The sequence below is a fragment of the Homo sapiens genome, chromosome 2 (assembly GCF_000001405.40).
Source record: "Homo sapiens chromosome 2, GRCh38.p14 Primary Assembly".
NCBI lineage: Eukaryota > Metazoa > Chordata > Mammalia > Primates > Hominidae > Homo > Homo sapiens.
Window position 1 is genome coordinate 234,418,185 of NC_000002.12, and position 25,976 is coordinate 234,444,160.

Genomic DNA, 25,976 nt, shown 5'->3' on the forward strand with positions numbered 1-25,976 from the left:
CTGGTGGGAGGTAATTGAATCATGGAGGTGGGTTTTTTCCCATACTGTTCTCATGGTAGTGAATAAGTCTCATGAGATCTGATGGTTTTATAAATGGGAGTTCCTCTGCACACGCTCTCTTGCCTGCTGCCATGTAAGATGTGCCTTTGCTTCTCTTTCACCTTCTGCCATGATTGTGAGGCCTCTCCAGCCATGTGGAACTACGAGTTCATTAAACCTCTTTCCTTTATAAATTACCCACTCTCAGGTATGTCTTTATTAGCAGCGTGAGAACAGACTAATACAGATGGCTTCTTGTTGTAGGGGAAAAACATCCCAAGCTCGGAACGGGATCTGCATACCCACCCCTGCCTGCTTCTTTCTTCATCTCATTCCGCCCTCCCCTTCCCACAAGTCTGGGCCTCCTTTCCATTTCTCCCCATGAGGGAAGCTCTGTACCAAGAAGGCCACACACCTGCTGTTATCTCTGCCCAGACCAGTGTCCCTAAGCTCCTCTGCCCTGCTCCTCATCTTTGGCTGGTGGCTCCCTCTCATCATTAAATTCCTTGGAGGATCTTTTCTCTGCCTCCTCATCTGAAAGAACACCTGTCCTTTGCCCCACGTCTTCCGCAGCACAAGCCCAGCTCCGCCTGTGTGCTCCCTTGGTCCTTGTCTCTTGCTGACTTGTAGGCTCTTTGCTCATTTTTCCCACCACTATGGTAGCAGGCAGCAAACAGCAAGTGTTCAACACACATTTGTTGAACAAATTACACGTATGACAAGGAAAGCAATATACTTTAAAATCAACTATATTTTCGAACAGTTTTTGATTTACAGAAAAATTGCAGAGAAAATACAGAGTTCTCATATACTCACATCTGTTTTTTCTCTATCATTAACATTTTACATTAATATGATTTATCACAACTAATGAACTAATATTGATACATTATTACTCACTAAAGACCATACTTTATTGATGCTTCCTTAGTTTTTCCCCTGCCTTTTTTGTACCAGGATCCCATCTAGGATCCCACATGACATTCAATTGTCCTAGCTCTGCAGGGTTCTCTGGGCTGTGACAGTTGCTCCAACTTTTCTTTTCTTTTCTTTTCTTTTCTTTTGAGACATAGTCTTGCTCTGTCGCCCAAGCTGGAGTGCAGTAGCATGACCTCGGCTTACCGCAGCCTCCGCTTCCCAGGTTCAAGCGATACTCCTGCCCGAGTAGCTGGGACTACAGGCACATGTTACCAGACCCAGCTAATTTTTGTAATTTTAGTAGAGATGGGTTTCACCATATTGGCCAGGCTGGTCTCGAACTCCTGACGTCAAGTAATCTGCCCACCTTGGCCTCCCAAAGTGCTGGGATTAGAGGCATGAGCCACTGCACCCGGCCTTTTCTTGTTTTTGATGACCTTGACTCCTTTGAGGAGTGTTGGTTAGGAGTTTTATAGGATGTCCGTCAGTTTTGGTTTGTTTGGGGTTTTCCTCACAGACTTGGGTTAAATATAGTTTTAATATAAAACTCAATGTCCTTGAATGGTGTATTAGTATTCTTCAGAGAAACAGAACCAACAGGATCTATGTACATCTATATCTCTATATCTATGTCTATCTATAGACAGAGGTGGGGGAGAGAGAGAGCGAGCTTTATTTTAAGGGATTGGCTCCCTCAATTGTGGGGGCTGACAAGTCTGAAATCTGCAGGGTAGGCTGGCAGGCTGGGGCCTCAGAGAGTGGATGCTGCAGCTCACGTCCAATGGCAGGGTCTGGAGGCAGAACTGGCTTTTCAGGTCTTCAGGAGGATCTCAGCCTTTTTCTCCTTTTTTTTTTTCTTCTACGGAGTTTCACTCTTTCACCCAGGCTGGAGTGCAGTGGCGTTATCTTGGCTCACTGCAACCTCTGCCTCCTGTGTTCAAAAGCGATTCTCCTACCTCAGCCTCCCATGTAGCTGGGATTAGAGGCATGCATCACCACTCCTGGCTAATTTTTGTATTTTTGGTAGAGATGGGTTTTCACCATGTTGGCCAGGCTGGTCTCGAACTCCTGACCTCAGATGATCCACCCGCCTCGGCCTCCCAAAGTGCTGGGATTACAGGCGTGAGCCACCATGCCAGGCCCTCAGGCTTTTTCTCTTAAGACCTTTGGATTGGATGAGGCTCAGCCACATTATGGAGGATCATTGGCTGTACTCAAAGTCAGAAGATTTAAATGTTAATCACACCTAAAAAGTACCTTCCCAGCAGCATCCAGATTGGTCTCTGACCAAACATCTGGGCACCATAGCCCAGCCAAGTGGAGACTTCAAATTAACCTCTGTCAAGGGTGGCCCCCAGAAGTGTGGTTCTAAACAAGGCAGCAAGGGGGAGAGCGGGGGTTGTGGGTGGGAAGGAAGGTCTGTCAATAGCAGCACCACCCAGTTCAGGAACAAAAAGCTGCTGCCTGGTTGTTAACCTCTGAACTCCATGGCTGCAGCCCCCAAGTTAAACTGCTCCTTACTAACTGCAAACCAAACATGACGTCAGCCTGCTTGCAGTGCAGAGGCTGCAAGGAGATAATATTTATAGAGAATTCTTTGATTTCCTGGAGAAAGGTCAGAATCTGAATTGATGGGAATATAACTTCAGAATATGTAGACTCTTGCCGGGCGTACTGGCTCACGCCTGTAAGCCCAGCACTTTAGGAGGTTGAAGTGGGTGGATTGCTTGAGCTCAGCAGTTCAAGAACAGCCTGGGAAACACGGTGAAACCTCCTCAATACAAAAAAAAATAGCCAGGTGTGGTGGCACACTCCTGTAGTTCCAGCTACAGGTTCTGGGACTGTTCTGCCCACCTCAGCCTCCCAAAGTGCTAGAATTACAGGCATGAGCCACTGCACCCGGCCTGTTATGTGGTTTCTTAAGAAGCTACTCCTCCAGTTCCGGCAAGGCGGCTCATGCCTGTAATCCCAGCACTTTGGGAGGCCGAGGCAGGCGGATCACCTGAGGTCAGGAGTTCGAGACCAGCCTGGCCAACATGGCAAAACCCCGTCTCAACTAAAAATACAAAAATTAGCCAGGCGTGGTGGCATGTGCCTATCATCCCAGCTACTCGGGAGGCTGAGGCAGGAGAATTGCTTGAATCTGGGAGGCGGATGTTGCAGTGAGCCGAGATCACTTCACGCCACTGCACTCCATCCTGGGCAACAGAATGAGACTCTGTCTTGAAAAAAAAAAAAAGCTACTCCTCCAGCATTTCTTAATTATTTCCTGAGTGGTCCCTGGAGGTTCCCTTTGTCCCTCTGGGGATGCTTGAGTAGTAATAATTGCCCTGCCTTGCGTTAATATTGAACGTTCAGATGGCTTCCATGAGCATGATTCCATTCTACTTTTTACATGATCGCCCCAGGACTATCACATTCAGGTGGTCCTAAATAGGGACGGTTTAACCGTTAAAAAAAAAAAAAAAATAGAAGTGTACCAGCAGAATGAGTATGATTGCAAATAACAGCAAATATCCGCTTGACATGGCTTGAGCAATAATGTATTTGTATTTAGTGGGTAGTGGCACATGCAGAAGTGAAGATAGGGGATTGCCAAGTCATTTTTTTTTTTTTGAGATGGAATCTCACTCTGTCGCCCAGGCTGGAGTGCAGTGGTGTGATCTCCGTGCTCACTGCACCCTCTGCCTCCCAGGTTCAAGGGATTCTCCTGCCTCAACCTCCTGAGTAGCTGGGATTACAGGTGAGCGCCACCACACCTGGCTAATTTTTGTATTTTTAGTAGAGACAGGGTTTCACCATGTTGGTCAGGCTGGTCTCGAACTCCTGACCCCGTGATCCACCTGCCTCAGCCTCCCAAAGTGCTGGGGTTACAGGCATGAGCCACCGCACCCGGCGAGTACCAACTCATCTAAATGGAAGTGTGCTCAGATAGCAAGCAGGAGACATGGACTTCTGTGGCTTCCCATGATAACTGGGTTATGAGGACCAACTTTAAGCCTATATGTCAATCAGTTTATATGAGGTTGGACTGATTTCTACTGTGTGCAGCCTCTACAGGAGCATTTATACTGGTTTCCTTTTTTTTTTTCTTTCTACCTGTAGATATCTTTAAGATAAACAAGCTGAACACCATTAACTATGGTAACCTCTGCCATGCTGTCTCTGTTCCTTGAGATCAGATAGAGCCCGGACAGCAAAGAAGCACGTGGCCCTGATATTAAGATACAAGCATGCCAACAGCTTGCATTAGTATTTGTGGAATGGATGAGTGAGTCATGATATATTTCCCCAAGCTTCAGCTGGGTGTGTTTTTCATGTAACCATTACTCATAAAGTGTAAAGGTCAATTATGTTAGGAAGGAAGGAATGATTTTTGTCATCCATGCATAGGACACTCAGGTATGCTTCCCTGAGCTTCATGGAGCATGGTTCCCTGAGCTCACTCCTGCAAAGGCCACGCCTATTCATGAATGTTGACATTAACCAGAAGGTAGGGACTGTATATGTGAATTGAGCTTAAATCTGAGCTGAGGAATTCTATGACAAGTAACTTCAAACACGTCACTGAGTTTGAGTTTACCATAATGCATAAGACTATTTCTAAAACTTGTAATTGCTTCTGTTTATTTACAGAGTTTGATGCATATTTGAGCATTTATTTACTTATTCAAAATTCAAAAAGTTCCAAGAAGTATAAAAATGGCTGAACAGTGGCAAGAATTTTAGAAACCATAGAAAAAAACCCGACATTATTAGGGAACAAAACAAATAGACTAGGAGATAAAAATGAAGTTTTGTGTTGCAGAAGCTGGCAGGGATCCCCAGTGAGAGAAAAGAGGTATCAGGATGAGGAGAATGATAACCACAGCCTCATCACATAGGAGAGCGGCTGCTTCCGTCAACAGGGTGTGTGCTCACAGCTTCAGGTCTGCACCGCACAGCATGATGCTGAGACAGGAGGTCAGCACGTCACATAATTACAACTATATTCTTGTAGATGGCAGGATAATGGCATCCCCCCACCCTGCCCCCAAAAGATGTCCATGTCCTAATTTCAGGAACCTATGAATGTGTTATATGACATGGTAAAGAATTAAGTTTGTAGCTGGAATTAGGGTTGTCAATCAGTTGACCTTAAAATAGGGAAATCACCTGGGTTATGCAGGTGTACCATCACTAGGGCCCTTAAATGCGGAAGGAGGCAGAAGAGACAGGTGGGCGGGCGCGGTGACTCACACCTGTAATCCCAGCACTTTGGGAGGCTGAGGTGGAGGATTGTTTGAGTCCAGCAGTTTGAGACCAGCCTGGGCAAGATAGTAAGACTTTGACTCTACAAAAATAAAAAACTAACCAGGCATGGTGGTGCATGTCTGGGGTCCCAGCTACTCAGAAGGCCGAAGTAGGAGGATCACTTGGGCCCAGGGGGGTTGAGGTTGCAGTGAGCCATGCCACAATTTTGTCTGCACTGCAGCCTGTAGTGCAGAGCGAGACCCTGTCCCCATCCCCCACCAAAAAATAATAATAATAATAGACAGGTCGATGAGATGTGACAAAATATCAACCCTCTGTTAAGGCCACCAAAAATAAAAAATATTAAAAGGACACACAGCCCTGCCAACACCTTGATTTTAGCTCATGCCAGACTTCTGACCTTCAGAACTCTAAGATAATAAATTTGGTTTGTTTTAAGCACCACATTTGTGGTAATTTGCTACAGCAGCAATAGAAAACTGATACAATTATATTAATAATTTTAAAGACGGCATATTTTGCCAGGTAGAGTGAATCATCATTTTGAATGACTTTGAATCCAGAAGAAAATTTATGTAAGGAAAGGGCTTAATTGAAAACTAAAACATGAAAGTTCTTGGTGGCTGTGAAGGTTTTTCCTAGGACTGGAAATCCCCTGGGCTCCCCTCACACTTTGAAGTCAACCTAATTGGAGGGCCATGCCTCGATCCTTTCGGGAGATAGGTGTCCCTGTTAGAGTCTTCAGGTGTATGTTATACTTCAGGTGTCTGCAATTACCTTACCCAGGCCTATAAGCTCCTTGAGAACAGGGAACGTATTTGTCTAATTTTCAGGACCAAATGCAACATCCAGCCTCTAATTGGGGCTTAATAGGTATTTGTTGAATAAATATTTCCAGTGTCATTGATGCAATATTCTGACAAGTAGAAAGATCAAAGCTGGGAAGACGGGGGCTGGGGTGGAAGGAAAATAAATGACGTTTTGATTTTTTAAAGGAACAAAACTTTAGATAAGGCCAGTTTCAAATCATCTTGGCTTTGTTGTGTTTTCATCTCTCCAGAATTGGACTTCTGTGCTCAATTCAATGAAAACACTCAGAGCACAGATTGGGATCACGGACTTATTTTCAAAGCATGTTCCCACACATATTAACAATTGCTCAAAATTAACTGTAGCATCTGTTTAAAGTTGAATCAAATTGAATTCTCTATTTATAAAAATGGAGTTTACATAAGAGAATGGAAACCATGTACAGACATTTAGCATGACACTTCTGCTTACACCATTTCAACAAATAAAAAGAAATTATTGTTCTGGGAGAAATACACATTCCAAATCTTTGTAAAATGAAACCCTTCAAAATTAGGAAATGGAACAACTCTTTTTTTTTTTTTTTTTGAGACAGTCTTGCTTAGTCATGTTGCTCAGTGCAATGGCGCGATCTCGGCTCACTGCAACCTCTGCCTCCCGGGTTCAAGCGATTCTCCTGCCTCAGCCTCCTGAGTAGCTGGGATTACAGGCACCTGCCATCATGCCCAGCTAATTTTTGTATTTTTGTAGAGATGGGTTTCACCATGTTGGCCAGGCTCATCTTGACCTCAGGTGATCTGCCTGCCTCGGCTTCCCAAAGTGCTGGGATGACAGGCGTGAACCACCGCACCCCACCAGAAATGGAACAACTCTTAATGAGTGACATGAGCTACCAGATAAAGGAACACTATATAAATTTCAGGGTCCAGGGTCCTAGAAGTGCCTGGAGCTGAGCCCCTGCTCCCCAAGTCTGTACACATGCACCCTGGGTGCTCAAGCCACAGGCCCTGTTGTAATGGGAAGAGAGAATTCCCTCTTGCAGGAAAGCGGGCTACAAAGATGAAGGGTGGTGGGTGGCAAGAGAGGCCCGGACACACCCTGGGCCCAAGCCTCACTGGTAATGGTTGGAGGGTGGTGGGAAAAGCCATAGGAGATTCTGGGGGAGGTCACAGGGATGGGGGTGAGAGCGAGCTAAGTGGTAGCCAGTGGCGGGGCCCCTGGTGGTTGGGTTTTATTGGGAATGAGGCCGGGCAGGGAGTGACTATAAGACCCAGCTGGTCGTGGCAGAGGTGGGAAGGGAATTTAGGGAACTTGCTCTCTTGGCTTCATGTCTGGGGACACAGCACGGGTGAGGCTGGTGGGTGGGTTGACCTGCTGGTGGTCCCTTCAGACCCCTGTCCCAGTTAGTCCCTGGGGACCCGTCCCTTTGGACCTGACTCCTTGGGGTTGAGTTTCCCCTTTCACCTGGCCAGGATTTAGCATCTTCTTCTGGAGGAATGAGGAGGTTTGGGTGACCTGCCTCTTCCTCTTTCACCTGGCCAGGCTTTAGCATCTTCATCTGGAGGAACAAGGAGGTTTGGGTGACCTGCCTAGTGCCAGGGCAGGACGACTGCCACCCTGAGTCATGTTCTGCTGGTGTCTTTCAATTAGGCAGGAAAGCTCACTTCACAAGGAGCTTCTGTGTCACTGGAGTTATATGGAAATGAGGACATCAACGCAGCCCTCAGGGGCATGCGGGAAGAAGCAGAGGATGGGCCAGAGAGGGTCCTCCCTACCCTCCTCCCAGGTTTGGCCCTCTAGGCCACTCTACCCACTGCATACAGGGATGGGTGTGGTGCCCAGTTCCTCACCCTCTGGGACATAGAACTCCACCTACCCACAAAACCCACTTCCTCAGAAGCGTTAGGGCTGCCTCGGTGCCCTAACTGCAGGTGTGCAGGGCGGGGCTGAGGAAGAGGCAGTTAGGGCTGAACCCAGCAGGAGGGAAGCAAGCTCGCCCAGCTCTAGGTTTCTTGTGAACCCTCAGGACCTGCCTTTGGAGGCAGGTCCTGAGACTGCTGGAAGAAATGAAAATGATGACGATTACAAAGATGAAGGGAGAGAGTGTTAATGAATCACAGATCTTCCTTCCCCTATCAGGTCACCTTGTGTCAGTTTAACAATGACCACCCCCCCCCCAAAAAAAAAAAGCCACACACACACACACTGAGAAGGGAAACACTTTGTTTTTCTGCACTGTCTGAGCTCCATCAGATAATGGAACTGCTGAGCTCTCTGTTCTGCCACTCCACATTGATGGATTTCATGGCAGAGTAACACTTTGGAAATGAAAGTTTCTCTTCTACTTCCTAAGTGAGGGAGACCCAGAATCCAAGAAAGGATCCTTGGCTCAGGAAATCATCTGCCATCGGTGGCCAGGGGCAGCTGGAGCGTCAACATCTAACCTGTGGGAAGATGTACCCTCTGCAATAGGCCCCTCTGCCCCATCCCCAGAAGTCCCCAAAAGTTTCCAGGAGTGTCAACAGATGGGGGAGGGATCAGCCACTCTCACCCTCTGAACTGTGAGGGTTTCTCTTCCCATTTCTCTAGGAAGCAGTGGCCATGTTGTTGCCCAAAGCAGATGTCAAAAGAGAAACTTAGAAGAGGCTTCTGAGACTAGCAACCCTCCCACTCAGGATGGAACCAAATTCAGGGAGCACGTCTCCCCACACAGCTGAAATTAATGCAGAGGTGAACGCCTTCTCCCTCGGAAGCAGAGCAAGAATGATTCTTGATTACACTGAGCCTATGGAACAGCCCCCACTGTTCAAGAGCCAAGATTAGTGTGAAGCACCTCTCAATCATTTAAGATTTGATTGTTTAACATGAGGCTGGGTGGGTTCGTCTCAGTGCTGATGTCAACAATCGACCCCATCGTCCACATGGCTCCCTGGGTTGCACCATGAGCCAGCCACTGCTGCTTCTGGGTGCCAGGCTGTCCGGCAAATCCTCTGACCCCCGTCTCTCCCTTCTAGATTTTTCTGAGCTGCCACTTCCTCTCACCCTCCAGGCAGGCAGAGCCTGAAACCCCCTCTCTCAGAAAGGGTTGCATCAAACTCATTTGATGCACACAAATTCACCGAGGGAGAATCCTTTGACAAGCAGGCTCTGGGGCCCTGGGGCTGGGGCTTGAGAGCCTGGGTCTCTAACACACCCAGCAGTTGCTGATGGCGGGGCCAGAGCTGGAGTGGCCAAGGTTTTAGAGCAGTACTTATGGTGGGTCTCTCTCTAGCTGGGCCATCCTTGAGGCCATCCTCTTCATTTCAGATCAGTTTGCCCCCTCCCCATTTCTCAAAGCTGCTTACTGTTTGCTGGAAGGGAAGGCTGGACTCCTCCACCCCACCTTCCACCCCCACCTTCCTTTCCCCTCCGCCCCACACCCGTTTCTCTGCTCCCTAGTCTGTTTCCTGTACAACTTTAGGACATGGCCTTCATTCATGTTACCTTTCTGTTGTTGTTTTTTTATGAGCTTTAGTTAAGATAACTAATTGCTGCAGACAAAACCAGCTCAAAACAATTTAATCCACACTTTGAGAGAGGGAGAAAGAAATGCACTCTGCAGAGGAATCTGAAGAATGTAGAGAACCATCCAATCAACGACTATTCCAAGCATTTCCCTGAGAATGCAAACTTCCACCCACCTCAAGCCCTCCAGGAACTTGCCATTTTCACCACATCACTATGCAGCGTCACACCAGGAAGTACCCAGAAAACTTCGCACGATCCTCCGGAAGCCTCACCCCTTATCGGTGACCACCCTTCTGCTATATCCAGTCTTTTTCTCAGCATAAGTGTTTTACATACTTGATATCAGAGTGTAATTTAAAATCTATTTCTTGACTTTTTTACTTAATAAGTTTTTAACTGTCACTAAAAATTCCTGAAAAAATGTTGTATAACTCTTTCCGTTATTTACTTAATCATTTCCCTATTGTTGGAGACATAGAATCCAATTTAGGATTTGTTTTGTGGAAGGTTTCTTTGTTGCTGTTTTTTGAGACGGAGTCTCGCTCCGTCACCCAAGCTGGAGTGCAGTGGCGCAATCTCGGCTCACTGCAATCTCTGCCTCCCGGGTTCAAGCGATTCTCCTGCCTCAGCCTCCCAAGTAGCTGGGATTACAGGCGCCCACCACCACTCCCGGCTAATTTTTGTAATTTTAGTACAAACAGGGTTTCGCCATGTTGGCCAGGCTGGTCTTGAACTCCTGAACTCAGGTGATCCGCCCGCCTTGGCCTCCTAAAGTGCTGGGATTACAGGCGTGAGCACCGTGCCTGACCTGTTTTGTGGAACTTTTGAAAGCACAGAGAGGCATGCTCACATCTCATGGACACCACCCGAGTTAGATTAACTTCCTTTCAAACTGGAAGTAGAAGGAGACCATGTTTTCATTTGCCCACTCACTCACTCAGCAAATTTCACAGCATATTCCCCGTGTGCCAGGTATTCAGGGAAAGCCCGTTGTCCGTCTGAAGTCTATTAAGAGGTTAAATAGTCATCAGTCCACTTCAAGCTGGTCGATCGCCTTTGAGCATGGGAGGTAAGAGCTAACTTTGCAGTAAACCGCTCAACACAGAAACCAGCAAGGGCTTCCACATGCAGCCCCGTTCCTGGAGCAACAAATCACAACATCCGTCACTGTAGACTCTGGCCTGACACAGATGGTCCCCACATTCTTGAAGGCAAGGACTAAGAAAGAGTGGGTCAGGGTCCGTTTGGAAATTATTTTCAGGAAGCTGGCCCTCTGAGGCCAAATGGTGGGAGGTGGAGGGGACTAGACTTGGGCGGGAAGAAACATCCTCATCCATCCTCATCCTTATGGAAACCTGTGTCCCAGTTCCCTGTCTGCATCTTCAGGTGCCTCTGGTACAAGTCTATGTGGATGCCTGCCTCAAACTCATCACACAGAAATGCAGCACTCTCGCCCGCTGCACTGTGGCCCCTTCCAAATGTAGCCCCCTTGGAGAGACACGTATCGCCCACTAAGTGGATCCACTGCAGCCTCCACACTATCTGGGTTCCTCTCTCCCTTTCTCCTCCAAGTCAGCAGGTGACAGGCTCGCTTTGCTTGTGCCTTCCAAAGAACAGAGACTCTAGCATGTCTGCCCTTCGATGGGCCGGCTTGGCCTGGCTGTCTCCTGCTTCCTCAATGGTTTCCTGGGAATACCTGCTGGTAGGTGGGGGATGGCCTAATCCCTGCCAGAGACTCCTTGGCCTTTGATCCTGGTGAGCTGTGCTAGTCCACGTGCAAACACAAAGCCTCTGTTCTCTTTTGGAGGCCTTTTGCATAGTCTGACAGCTGAGCTGGAGATCCAGGCAGGCCTGCACTTAGCTGTGCTCTTGCCTCCAAGGACTGTTCCAACGTGGGGCCATGATTCAGCCTCTTTGAGCCTCAGATTCTTCTCTGTACACTGGAGATAAGGATGCCCACCTCACAGGGCTGTTTCAGCGATCAGATCTGTAAAGCACTTAGCGTTATGTGTAGGAAGAACTCAATACATAATATTAATGCTGAGTATAATTACTGTTATTCCTCAGTAGGCTTCCAGGCCTGCCTGCCCTGAGTCCTCTTGGTCTTCCCTGTTTTATCTCCCCAGCTACAGGAGAGAAGTGACTTGCTCTCCATCCCTCCGTCAATGAAGGGGCTAGGCCATGCACTGTGCTTTGGTGCCCACTGTTCTACTTGGTTTACATCAGAGAAGGAAGGATAATATTAGAAATTATATAGATAGGCCGGGCACGATGGCTCACACCTATAATCCCAGCACTTTGGGAGGCCGAGGCGGGCGGATCACCTGAGGTGAGGAGTTCGAGACTAGCCTGATCAACATGGTGAAACCCCATCTCTACAAAAAATACGAAATTAGCTGGGTGTGGTGGCACATGCCTGTAATCCCAGCTACTCAGGAGGCTGAGGCAGGAGAATTGCTGGAACCTGGGAGGTGGAGGCTGCAGTGAGCTGAGTTCATGCCATTGCACTCCAGCCTGGGCAATAGAGTGAGACACTGCCTCAAACAAACAAACAAAAAAAAAGTATATACATGTGGCATAGTAACCTCATTATGAAAACCATAATCTTGGTCATAATCATGCATGAATGTTAGAAAAATATCCAGTAAAATCCCACATTAATCTTTTTTCACTCTGACCATCAGAATTTTCTTGGAAGTTTTCATCACTATTAAGCAGACTCCAAAAATTAAAGTTAATAATGATCTGGATTAAAGATGCAAAATAATTATTGCTTGCATATATGTTGTAGGGGCCAAAGCGAAACCTTTGGCCCTCTGAAGTTTCACTGAAAAATCAACTCGCAAAAGACAGATTAAGGCCGGGCACTGTGGCTCAAACCTGTGATTCTAGCACTTTGAGAGGTTGGGGTGGGCAGATCAGTTGAGGTAAGGAATTCAAGACCAGCTTGGCCAACATGGCAAAACCCTGTCTCTACTAAAAATACAAAAATTAGCTGGACGTGGTGGTGTGTGCCTGTAATCTCAGCTACTCAGGAGGCTGAGGCATGAGAATCCCTTGAACCAGAGAGACAGATTCAGAGGTTGCAGTGAGCCGAGAGCAGGCCAGCGCACTCCAGCCTGGGCGACACAGCAAGACTCTGTCTGAAAAAAAAGGCAGATTAATAGGAGAAAAGGCATACAAAGTTATTCAACGTGTGTATACACAGGAGCCCTCAGAATAAAGAGCCCACCCCCAACAAAGTACAGAAGCTTAAATATACCATCTTGAGGTTACAGAATGAATGGAGGCTCAGAGCATGGCCAAAAAACAATTATGGTAGTCAATCATGTTCTATTGGCAAGACAGATGATGGGAGGAGGAGAAGAGGAGGACTGGCTGACAAAGGTGGTCTTGTTATGTAGATGAAACCTCACAGGTAGCAGCTCTCAGAGAGAATAGATGATGAATGTTTCTTTCAGATCTTTCACGGTGTCAGAATCTCCCAAATTAATCTCTCCTACATGAGGACTAGGGCAGGACTGGTTGCATTTCTGGGGATTCACTAAAGATCTCCAGATGCAAATTTTCCCCACAAAAGACCACTTTGTAGAGCCACTTCAGTCTGCCAGCCCTGTGGCAGCCATCTCGAAATATGTCAGAGCAATATATTTGGGGGTAAAATATTCTGATTTCCTTTAATGTGTAATAATATACCCAGAAAACTTCAGAGAATCCACTGAAAGTCTTATAGAATTAAGAAGAGGCAATCAATACAATACAAACATGGGAAACAACAGCTTTGCATCAGATCAGCATAGAACGGATGTGGGAGAGGAATACTGTTCTCAATAGCACCAATGTACAGAAGCTGAGAATAACATCAGTAAGATGCACATTGGAAAAAAGAAAAACTAGGAATTATAATGAGACATAAAGAATAAAACTTGAATAAATGGAGTAATGTATCGCATTTCTGATGATGCAACAAAATAAATTTTTCTCAAGTTACTTTATGAGTAACAAAATCCAAATAAAATCTCAAACCAACACTTCATCTTGATAAAATCATTCTATTATAAGCTTGACAAATAAATGACGGCTCAAGAAACAACAGATGCTGGTGAGGCTGTGGAGAGATAGGAACGCTTTGACACTGTTGGTGGGAATGTAAATTAGTTCGACCATGGTGGAAGACAGTGTGGCGATTCCTCAAAGAACTAGAACCAGAAATACCATTTGACCCAGCAATCCCATTACTGGGTATATACTCAAAGTATTATAAATCATTCTACTATAAAGACACATGCACATGTACATTTATTGCAGGACAATAGCAAAGACATGGAACCAACCCAGATGCCCATCAATGATAGACTGGATGAAGAAAATGTGGTACATATATACCATGGAATACTATGCAGCCATAAAAAAGAATGAGATCATGTCCTTTGGAGGAATATGGATGAAGCTGGAAGCCATCATCCTCAGCAAACTAACACAGGAACAGAAAACCAAACACTGCATGTTCTCACTCATAAGTGGCAGTTGAACAATGAGAACACGTGGACGACAGGAGGGGAACATCACACACCAGGGCCTGTTAGGGGGTGGGGAGGCAAGGGGAGGGAGAACATTAGGACAAATACCTAATGCGTGTGGGGCTTAAAACCTAGATGACAGGTTGATAGGTGCAGCAAACCACCATGGCACATGTATACCTATGTAACAAACCTGCACATTGTGCACAAGTATCCTGGGACTTAAAGCAAAATAAAAAAGAAGAAAAAGAAAATAAATGACTGCAAATGGTTTTTTGTTGTTGTTGTTTGTTTGTTTCTGAGACAGGGTCTCACTCTTACCCACGCTGGAGTGCAGTGGCTTGAGCATGGCTCACTGCAGCCTCGGCCTCCTGGGCTCAAATAATTCTCTTACCTCAGCCTCCCAAGTAGCTGGAACCACGGGTACACACCACCACTCCCACCTAACTTTTTAAAAAGCTTTTCATAGAGACAGGGTCTTCCCATGTTGCCCAGCCTGGTCTTGAACTCTTGGGCTCAAGGGATCCTCCAACCTCAGCCTCCCAAAGTGCTGGGAATACAGGCATGAGCCACCATGCCTGGCAAATACGTTTTTAAAAACAAAGTAAAAAATATTACTAAATTTTAAAACTTAATAAAAAGAAAAGAAAGTCATCGTGTTTCTCACAAAAGAAAAGTCAAATCAACAGAGCTAAAGACAAGCCAGACACAGGCCAACCATGTGTAAGAACTCATATCATTTTTAAAAACAGTCATCACAAACCAATGAATAAACAACAGATTATTCTATAAGTGGGGTGTGATAATTGACTGTTTGGGAGATAAAATTAGCTCTTCTCCCATGACACAGGAAAATTAAATCCCAAATGCATTTTAAAACAAGAAAATCACAGAAAATTAGGAAAAAATATTTCTAGTTTATATTTAAAAATAATAGACTTGATTATATATCTACAGTAAATAAAATTCATTAGAAAACAAAAGTGAGGGCATATTGGTAACAAATGTGAAAGACAAAGGGTTAGTTTCCCTAATAAAGGACCAATATAGGCTGGATAAGGAAAGGGCAGTGATATGAACTCAATGGGAAAGGGTGTCCACAGCTATGTTGGGAGGCTTCTGAGAGTCAGAAACTGCTGATGTGGATGTGAACCAGCCAACTTTGCTGGAAAGAAATCCAGCAATTGGTGTCAACAGCATTCAACAAGCTCATAGCTTTTGACTCAGTAATCCTGCTCTGGAAACATATCCTAAGGAAAGCTGAAATGAGGACGGGGGTTACGCACCCACCCATTGATGGCTGATATTTTTACGTAGAACACATGGCAGCCACACTAAGTGACCTTCAAGGGAATGTTTAAGTCAAGTATGAGACATCCACTAGAGGGAATAGTTTTTTAAAGCCACTTACATTTTCATACAAAAAATTGCTGCTGAAATGTGACAATGCTTATGATACAATTTTAAGTAGAACAGAAGACAACACTGTGTAACAATGGGATTTCACATAGGAACAAAGGCATAGGAGGATGTGGAGGTGGGTGATGTGTATGAATGGCTCGTGCCTGTGTGTGCTGGGCCCAGAGACAATGGTGGAAATGCATGCATCTTTTTCTCTTCCTGTATACTGCTAATTTCACATTTTTTTCAAAAATTAAGTATATACTGCTTTTATAATAATCAATAAAGTATAAAAAAGTAATCAAGTTTGGAAGATTATGGGGGCAAGAACGCAAGACAATTGCTTGAGCAAAGAATGGAGTCACAGCTGGAGTCAATTGTGGGGCATGTGAGTGCACATGTGTGTGCACGTGTGCACACGGATGCACCAGAGCACTCAATATTTTAAGATGATAGAAATCTGAGCATGCTCACTGGGAGTGAGCAAGATTCCATTGGGTAGGGAGAAGTTGAAAAAGAGTACTAGGCCGGGCGCAGTGGCTCACGCCTGTAATCCTAGCACTTTGGGGGGACGAGGCGGGCAGATCACCTGAGGTTGGGAGTTCGAGACCAGCCTGACCAACATGGAGAAACCCCATCTCTACTAAAAATACAAAATTAGCCGGGCGTGGTGGCACATGCCTGTAATCCCAGCTACTGGGGAGGCTGAGGCAGGAGAATCGCTTGAACCCAGGAGGCGGAGGTTGCGGTGAGCTAAGATCACACCATTGCACTCCGGCCTGGGCAATAAGAGTGAAACTCTGTCTCAAAAAAAAAAAAAAAAAGAGTGCTAAAGGGAGAAAGATGATGAAGGTACACCCTATAGGACATGAGAAGTGGAATCAAGGTTTCCTGTGGAGGTATTGTCAGAGTCATTGGAATCAGAGTAACTCCATCTTGAATAGGGGCTGGGTAAAATGAGACTGAGACCTACTGGGCTGCATTCAAAGATGGTTAAATCATTCTAAGTCGCAGGATGAGATGAGAGGTCGGCACAAGATACAGGTCATAAAGACCTCGTGGATAAAACAGTTTGCAGTAAAGAAGCCGGCCAAATCCCACCAAAATCAAAATGGTGACGAAAGTGACCTCTGGTTGTCCTCACTGCTACCAGCACCAGGACAGTTTACGAATGCCGTGGCAACATCAGAAAGTCACCCTATATGGCCTAAAAAGAGGAGATATGAATGAACCACCCCTTGTTTAGCATATAATCAAGAAATAGCCATAAAAATGGACAACCAGCAGCCCTTGGTGCTGCTCTGTCTGTGGAGTGGCCATTCTTTTATTCCATTACTTTCCTAATAAACTTGTTTTCACTTTACTCTGTGGACTTCCCCTGAATTATTTCTTTCTTGAGATCCAAGACTGGATCCGGACCCCTTTCCAGTAAGAGTATCAGCCATGACCCATGCAGGAGAAAGAGTGCTTATTTTCCTCCCCCGCAGAGACTAAAGAAAAACAGACATCAATTTTCACAGGCTCTCCTGTCTCTGATTTCCAAGAGCACCCTCCATGAGGGCTCCCGTCTATCCTATCCTTCACTCTGGCCCATTGCCCTTCGTAGCACTCATCCCCACCTGACTTTTTATAGACGTATTATCTGTTTTGCTCTGCTTTGTGGCCCCAGAGTGCAAAGTCCAAGAGAGGACAGCATTGTCCATCTATCCTCTGCTGTCATGTCCACCACAGCACTGGCACGCAGGAGCACTCAGTAAGAATCTGTTGAATAAAAATGCTTGTGGGCCGGGCATGGTGGCTCACGCCTGTAATCCCAGCACTTTGGGAGGCCAAGGCGGGTGGATCACGAGGTCAGGAGATCGAGACCATCCTGGCTAACACGGTGAAACCCCATCTCTACTTAAAAAAATACAAAAAATTAGCCGGGCATGGTGGCGAGTGCCTGTAGTCCCAGCTACTTGGGAGGCTGAGGCAGGAGAATGGCGTGAACCCGGGAGGTGGAGCTTGCAGTAAGCCGAGATCACGCCACTGCACTCCAGCCTGGGCGACAGAGCGAGACTGTCTCAAAAAAAAAAAAAAAAAAGCTTGTGTTTTCTTTCCTTTTCCTTCCCCTATTGGATTCAAACCAGAGGATTGCTGGCAAAGACTAGGAGAAACCGATGGTGGTAGTGGGGTGAGTGGCCACTGCTGGCCAGGCAGAAGGCTGAACCCTGTGGATTTCCTACATTGGTTTTTGGTGGAGTTGGTGTTTTCCTGGAATGGGCTGGGGGAGGCCTGCTATTCCTTGCAGGGTCTCTGCAGATCAATGGCTTGAGCCTTTGGAGGATTCGCCTCCCAGATTTCAGAGCTCTGTTATCTCTATCCCCAGCAGGGCCATTTCCACTTCCTGACACAGTGCCTCCCCACCCCTCCCTCTGACACACACCCAGAGTACAAAAATCCATTTCCTTTGCCCAACTACGGTTTTCCAGGTCTCCCCACGCTTCACTCCTTGGTCTTAAAATCCTTTTTGATTCCTTATGAATCTGCCTGTCTTTGGTTAAATACCACATAGATGGCTTTAATGTGTATTGTGAAAATCCATCTCGAGTGCTTCCAGAATATAAAAATGTGACCAGATCCAATGGAATCATTTCAGGAGAAGTAGGGCAGTGCCGAGAGGCTATTTTTAAACTCTGCATTCTGGTGGTTTGGTGACCTGCCTGTCTCCTGTTTTCCTGCCCAATGCCAACGCTGAAGGACTTGGTGCTCCAGTTTTGGGTCAGTTCATGGTGCCCGGTGGAGTCCAGCATGGCCCCAGTGAGCTTGGTGTGGGACTTTTTTTTTTATGGAGGAGCAAAGGTGGAGAAGCCTGAGAAGCTTCCAGGAGACTGGTGGGGAGGGATGCTGAGGGGAGGTACCACTGTTGCAGAGCAGAGACCTGGAAGTTGCTGCAGGGGCTGTGGGAGGGCTGAGGGGTGACGAGCTGCAGAATCAGGTTCCTCCCAGGCAGGCGGGTCTGGAGAAACCACACCAGAATGCCTGTGGCGCCGCTCCCCCCGAGTCCCTGCTCCTTCTCCCTTGCATAACAGGGCCCTGCATGTTGGCCCAGGTCAGTGCACACACTTGGGCTGCCCCACTGGAACCCTTAGGCACCACACAGTGTATGGGGGAGCCCTGGAGTCCCTGTGCTGGCTGTCCTGAGCCCCAGACCCCACACGGACACCGAGTGGGACGGTGCAGTCGCTCCACATCCCTCCACACAGAGGCCACTTTGTGGCGGGTTCCACCTGCCCTCTCTCTCCTTGACTTGCTTCTTTCTTTGTCAAGCAGTGCACTGTCTTGAACTCTAACATCAAAGTATTTCTTTGACCTGTCCTCCATCTGAGTATAAGTACCACAAAGACAAGCATTTGTTTTGTTTACTGCTTTTTCCCCGGCTCCTAGAATCACCCCTGGTATATAGTAGGTGCTCAATAAAGGTTTGCGGGGGGAAGAAAGGTAAGAAAGATGGAGGGAAGTCAAGAGAGAGGGAAAGGGAAAGAGTGGGGTTTGTTGGTTCCTCCTTGAGTGATACCACCCACCCTGGGAGAAGCTGAAAGCTCCACATGCTGTCCCTCCCCAGTGACAGGGACCATCCACGCTGTGGCCTCCAACTCAGCTGCCTCCCTTCATAGGCATCAGCCTTGGCTCTGAGCCTCACCCTGGCCTCTTCTCCCTGTGGGTGCCCCTGCTCATGGTACCCGAGGGAACACCACCAGCAGAGAGTGCAAGAAGCAGACCAAGTGAGGACCTTCAAGCATGCATAACCACAGGCACCATGGCACTGCTTCTCTTGGTGGAAGAGAGAGCAGGGGAGAGTGGTGTCCCCCGTATTTGGTTCCTATAAATTCTCCTGATCTGTCTGCATTCACAGGCTGGGAAAGACCCTCAAACGGGCTGCAGTGGCCACCCTAAGAAGTGTTCTTCTTCTGCTTCAGACCCATTTCTTTCAGGACCATAAGCAGCTCTGCTCCTCATCTCCCACGCTGTAGACAGGGATCCCTGGTTGGCACTGTTTTCTCTGTCCCTAGGATGCCCGTGTCCTTTGGCTGCAGGCTCCCACCACCCAGCCCTTGCTCCCTGCACAGGGTGGTACTCAGTGAATATGTGGTAGCTCTTCTTGGGTTGAAGAAGAGAGGGCAGAAGAAAACCTGCCCCTCCACTTGCTTTCTTGCAGTGGCTTGTCTCAGCTTGAGTGCTTCCCTTCCCAACTGACCACATCTGAGGCTTTGCTTTGTGCTCCATCCATTCAAAACCAAGCGACCAAACGATGCTTCCCTTGGGGATTTTCTTTAGAACAAAGACCATTTTCATCAGCACTCTTTTCTCCCGCTCCTGGGTTCCTTCCACCTTTCATGAACTGAGCCCCCTTCTGAAGTAAGGCGTGGGCACCCTGAATGGAAATGGCTAGATTAATGCGCATGCATGTCCACACTGGTGCAGGGCACCTGCTTTTCTGGGACAATTGCCATCTGGAATCAGACGCCTTCCTCATTGTGTGCCTATTTCTGGACAAAGAAGAGGAGAATTGGACGAGAAGCAGGCCTCCTCTCCCACATCCTCCAGCCACCTGGCAGGCCCGACTAAGACACCCGCTCCAGCTCAGGTGGTTTATGTGGCTCCAGTGAGTGGGGCAAGTGGGGCGTTTCATCCCAACCTTCTGCATAACAGCATTAGCAGATCAGACACTCAGGTCTGGGACAACATGTCCTGAAGGGCATCTCTGGGTTCCCCCTCCAGGGCCTTGGGTGCTGCCCTGCCTCCTCTGCTGAAGGCTGCCTACCCCCCACCGCCAGAGCAGCAGAGTTCCCTTCAGTAGCTTTCAGGGACTGGAAGGATAGTGGGCTGCCTCTCCCCACAGGTAAGGCTACCGTTGGTCTCCTGGCTCTCGGCGGGCTGGGGGCCCATCCCTGGATAGCAGCTACGGGGAAAGACATGGCTCTGGAGATGGAGGCGAGAGTCAGATGCTGAGACCTCCAACAATGTCCGCTTGTGGAGGCTTTACTATTTATAACACTTTTGTTTTCTACAATGAATAGATAATGCTTTTAGAACAGAAAAGTGAAACGTAAATCAACTCCGCAAGAAACAGGAAGCTCAAAATTTAGATCCGAATAAGTCTTTCCACCCAGGGCTGGTCTAGGGATAGAAGAAAGACTAATGTTTTTGGTAGGAGAGGAAATGGAGGTGAGGGGCTGTGCTGGAGAAGTCAGCCTGCGGGGGGCGGGGGCAGGCGGGGTAGAATTTCAATTCTGCTCTCAATCTTGTTTTCTTAGAATACAATAAAATATTTTCACATAAGATACTGGTCTGGAGGGCAGGCGTGGTGGCTCATGCCTGTAATCCCAGCACTTTGGGAGGTCAAGGCGGGTGGATCACCTGAGGTCAGGAGTTCAAGACCAGCTTGACCAAAATGGTGAAACCCCGCCTCTACTAAAAATGCAAAAATTAGCTGGGTGGGGTGGCGGGCGCCTGTAGTCCCAGCTGCTCAGGAGGCTGAGACAGGAGAATCGCCTGAATCCGGGAGGTGGAGGTTGCGGTGAGCCAAGATCGTGCCATTGTACTCTAGCCTGGGCAACAAGAGCAAAACTCCGTCTCGGTGAGGGGTGGAGAGAAAAGATACTGGTCTGGAGTGATTTATTTTAGAAATATCAGATTCTGTTAAGTTTTTTATAAATTGTCTTTGGGAGTGATTGAAGAAATAGTGCGATGTTTTGAATAATCCAAGATCTAAATGTAAACACAATTTAATAAAATTAGAGACAAGGAAAACTATACATGGGGAGACTATATTACTCTTGACAGGAAATCACTGTGTATGTGCAATTATATTCATGTATTTGTCATTTGTATCTATCATATATATATATATATATATATAACCTAGGGAAAGATACCATACACCTAATCAAATGAAAAGTGATAAATTGGAAAAATATTTTCAGCACATGTCAGACAAAAATATTCATATGCCTATTGTACAAGGAGATCTCACAAACTGATAAGAAAAACCGATGATCAATTAGAAGACAAGGTCAAGGGGAACAGCTCATGCTTCACTTGACTTGGTGATTCTTCAGTAACGAGGGATCCCATCCCATCCATATGAAGAGTTGGCTTCATGGGAACAGTTTGAACCCTTTTTGGTAATATGGGGAGAGGCCTGGCCCAGGGTGCTGGGGACCCCCAGTAGGATTGAAGGGAAGACTCTTGGGAGCACCCAGACAATGGCCAAAGGGGATCTGAAAGAAAAGTTTTCAGCAGCGAAGTCACAGGGGGATCAGGTGTCTACCAGGAGAATGTGGCTGGGCAGGAAGCAAGTGCACACTCTGGAGTGTAATTGAGTAGGTCAAAATCTGTGCTGTTGTTCCCTTGCCTGCAAAAATAATTCCCTTTCCCCTGTTCTCCTCCTTTTCGGAGGCTCTGTCACTGTCCCTCTGTGCCCACCTGGGCTCTCTCAGATTCTTGCTATGGGATTATCCTCGCTAGCGTCTTCCCACCATCAGCATGGACAGGAGGGATGGGTGTGCAGGCCACATGAGCCCAAGAGGAAATGGTGCTTGGGGATACAATTCTCATGAGACCAACATGTGTTTCCTATGTGAGGAGGTGGCCAGGGAACGGTGGCCATAGTCGGCAGGGAGCCTGGGTGACCACATGACACACTAGGGCTGGTAGGACTGCCCAAGGTTATAGATGGTGCTTGTCTTTACTGATGCTGGTGGGCAGCCCGTTGCTTAGTTGACCAACCAGACAAATTCCAACACCCTTAAGCCTGCAGCACTGCCCGGCTTATTTCTGAGCGAAAGTGGTTGTGACGTGACAACCTGTAGAATCATGGCATCCACCCATGCATACTATCTCAGCAATGGCACTGCTGTCTTTCCAGAGTGTAAGTCACAGGCCCACATTTATCCTCGACACCACCCTCTCCCTATGCCTCAGAGGCAGAGTGACCACAGAGTTTATTGTCCAAACTGGACACTTGGGAGAGTAAAAGGAGGATGAACCCCGTCTCTACTAAAAATACAAAAAATTAGCTGGGCGTGGTGGCAGGCACCTGTAGTCCCAGCTACTCGGGAGGCTGGGGCAGGAGAATGGAGTGAACCTGGGAGGCGAAGCTTGCAGTGAGCCGAGATCACGTCACTGCACTCCAGCCTGGGCAACAAGTGCGAGACTCCGTCTCAAAAAAAAAAAAAAAAAAAAAAAGGAGGATGATAGTCCATGGAGGCTACTATAACAAAAGCCCTCAACTGGGTGTCTCATGAGCAACAGGCATCTTCCTTTCTTCCTTCCTCCCTCCCTTCCTTCCTTCCTTCCTCCCTCCCTTCCTTCCTTTCTTTTCTTTCTTCTTTCTCCTTCCTTCCTTCCTTCATTCCTTCCTCTTTCTTTTCTTTTCTTTTCAGCATCTTGCTCTGTTGTCCAGGCTGGCATGCAGTGGCATGATTATAGCTCACTGCAGCCTCAACCTCCCAGAATCAAGTGATCCTTCCACCTCTGCCTCCTGAGTAGCTGGGACTGCAAGTGCGTGCCACTACGCCCAGCTAATTTTTTAGTTTTTGGTAGAGACGGGAGTCTCACTGTGTTGCCCAGGCTGGTCTCAAACTCCTGGTTTCAAGCGATCCTCTCACCTCAGACTCCTAAAGTGCTGGGATGACAGGTGTTAAGCCACCTTGCCCAGCTGACATTTATTTCTCCCAGTTCTGGACTCTGGGAAGACCTAGATCAAGGTACTGGCTGATATTGTTTCTGGTGAGAGCCACTCCTGGTTCATAGACAATCATCTTTTCATAGTAACCTCATATGGCAGAAGGAACAAGAGGTCTCTCTCTGGCCTCTTTTCTAAAGGCACTAATTCTTTTCATGGGGGCTCTACACTCATGACCTAATCACCTTCCAAAGGCTTCACTTCCAAACACATCTCACTGTTGATTAGGTTTCAACATATGAATTTTGTGGGGGGACACAAACATTTGGACCATAGCAGAGTAATAATAAATGGTTTTTTTTGTTGTTGTTTGTTTGTTTTTTTGAGACGGAGTCTCACTCTGTCACCCAGGCTGGAGTGCAGTGGCACCATCTCAGCTCACTGCAACCTCCCCCTCCCGGGTTCAAGTGATTCTCCTGCCTCAGCCTCCTGAGTAGCTGGGATTACAGGCATGCGCCACCACGCCCGGCTAATTTCTTTGTATCGTTTAGTAGAGAGGGGGTTTCACCATGTTGGCCAGGCTGGTCTTAAACTCCTGACCTGAAGTGATCTGCCCACCTCGACCTCCCAAAGTCCTGGGATTATAGGCGTGAGCCACTGTGCCCGGGCGAATAAATGGTTACATTGTAGCGACAGGTAACCATAGACAGTTTCAGCAAATCAAGGTTGCCCAAATCAGAGCCAAACCGTCACATGGATCTCTGAACTTTACCTTAGAAAAATCTCTCAAATCTATCCCTTTTTCTCCACTGCCACCACCTCTATCCCAATAACCATCATTTCTTTCCTGGACTGATGTCCACCTAGGCTTGCACCGGTTTCCAACCAAGTGTTCATTTCAGATGTAAATATGATCATGACAGTTTCTACTTCACCACTTTCAATACCCTCCGAGACACCTCTTTGCTCTTAGGATACAATTAGAAGAACCTGAAAGGTCTTAATATCTGTTTCCTTCACAAGGATGCCTCCCAGTGAAGACACAGACCCTATTTGCTCACCCTGTTACCTTTAGTATCTGCTCTGTACCAGTGCTCATTCAGTATCAGCTAAATCACCAAATGAGTGAACCTATGAATGAATCCATCAGGTTTCCTGGGCCTGCAGTCTCTGCTGTGATGGAGAAGGCTGCCTAATATACATGTGAACTCATGTATATTGAGTGTACATGTAATAAAAATATCCCTTATCTAAAGCTCCAATTTTGTGTCCACTGATGGCGTCCCCTGTCATGTGTCTATGCTGTTTTTGTTTCCATTGAACTTTCGGTATAAATTTAGCTATTTGTATGGTATCTTCCCCTCTCCCCCTGCCCTCAAATTTGCTATTTACTCCCATAGATTTAAGAGATTATTTGAATTCAAACAAAACGATAAACTCCTACTTTTGTTTCATTCTTTGAAAAACAAATTCTATATTTCACTGGAAAAAAATATATTTATCTTCCAGTTAGCTTTCTAAAGGGAGAGCTGGCAGGAAGTAAAGGAGCTGAAAATTACCAACATTCCATTTTTATTTAATGCATGTTACACAGACATAGTAGTGTTTCAATAGATAGGAACAAATGCTACTATTACATACAAAGGTTAACAGTACAAGGTATGATTACCATAAGTCTGCATAACACCTAGAAGAAATAAAAACTACTTTCTAACTCTGGAGCACCCATTTCAATAATAGCAGCGTTTGTTGGGGCGGCTTGAGCGTATGCCCCTGTGGTTAAGGAGCACGCATGTGTTCTTAAACACCAAATGCATTCACAGTTTTAAGGGAGAGAGAGAATGGAATTTAGCAGAAATATGTATCTAAATAATGCATAGTTACGATTCCACGGTAAAATATACAATCATCAAAACCATTTAAGAATAATAACCTAAATGCTTTTGATAGGAAAGGTTTTGGGCCATGTTTCTTGACGTATTGTATTCAAATTAGCTATGGGAATAACTACACAAGAGCTGTGGTTTTTTCCCCTATGAGGGTCAAAACCTTTTCTTGTCAAAAGTGTACGAGTTACTCTAAACCTCTAGCCATGGCTCTGCCAAGGCAACAACCCATAAGCAGCAAAAGGCGAGGAAGAACAAGCAGATGCCAGTGGCTCCAGGTTCCTGCAAACTTATTCTTGTTGTTGTTTGTCTCCTGTCCAGATGTCATAGCCATTAGTACCTGCAGGTCCCACCATATTGAGACAGTGAGCCTTGTAAGCGTCATCATCAAAAAACACAGCAAATATAGGCTGTAAAAGCAAACTCCATAACTGACAACTATAGTAGGCTGAATAACGACCTCCAGAGATACCAGGTACTAACTCCTGTGTCCCATAAATGTTACCTTATATGGAAAATGGGTCTTTGCAGGTGTGATTAGGTTAAGGATTTTGAGATGGGGAGATTATCCTGAGTTAGCCTGGTACTCCCTAAATGTAATCACAGAGGGCCTTATAAAAGAGTGACAGAAGGAGAGTCAACACATACTGGAGAGGAGAAGGTGACGTGACCACACAGGCAGAGATTGGAGTGATGTTGTCACAAGCCAAGGGATGCAGCAGCCCCCGGGACCTGAAGGAAGCAAGGGATGCATTCTCCCCTAGATCATCAGGAGGGAGCCCTGCCCAACCCACACCTTAATTTTGGCCCAGTGAAACTGATTTTGGATATTTGGCCTCCAGACTGTGAGAGAAGAAAGTTTTGTTGCTTTTTAGCTGCCAAGTTGATGGTGATTTGTTACAGCAGCCACAGGGAGCAAATACAGCAACTGACCAAGGCAAGACTCTTAGGTTGCAAGCAAGGGAAATCATC

General features: G+C 46.7%; 4 annotated features.

The window, feature by feature from the left end:
- Positions 9,273 to 10,472: an enhancer, noted in NCBI's record as "MED14-independent group 3 enhancer chr2:235336101-235337300 (GRCh37/hg19 assembly coordinates)". NCBI's record gives its function as "activates an origin of replication core promoter dependent on BRD2, BRD4, P300/CBP and CDK7 cofactors, and independent of MED14, by STARR-seq in HCT116 cells {active_cell/tissue: HCT116}" and the evidence as "EXISTENCE:reporter gene assay evidence [ECO:0000049][PMID:35650434]".
- Positions 9,273 to 10,693: a biological region, named in NCBI's record as "MED14-independent group 3 enhancer GRCh37_chr2:235336101-235337300".
- Positions 10,122 to 10,693: an enhancer, noted in NCBI's record as "H3K27ac-H3K4me1 hESC enhancer chr2:235336950-235337521 (GRCh37/hg19 assembly coordinates)". NCBI's record gives its function as "activates a minimal SCP1, AML or CMV promoter by ChIP-STARR-seq in naive H9 embryonic stem cells {active_cell/tissue: H9 hESC(naive)}" and the evidence as "EXISTENCE:reporter gene assay evidence [ECO:0000049][PMID:30033119]".
- Positions 12,665 to 13,216: an enhancer, noted in NCBI's record as "OCT4-NANOG hESC enhancer chr2:235339493-235340044 (GRCh37/hg19 assembly coordinates)". NCBI's record gives its function as "activates a minimal SCP1, AML or CMV promoter by ChIP-STARR-seq in naive H9 embryonic stem cells {active_cell/tissue: H9 hESC(naive)}" and the evidence as "EXISTENCE:reporter gene assay evidence [ECO:0000049][PMID:30033119]".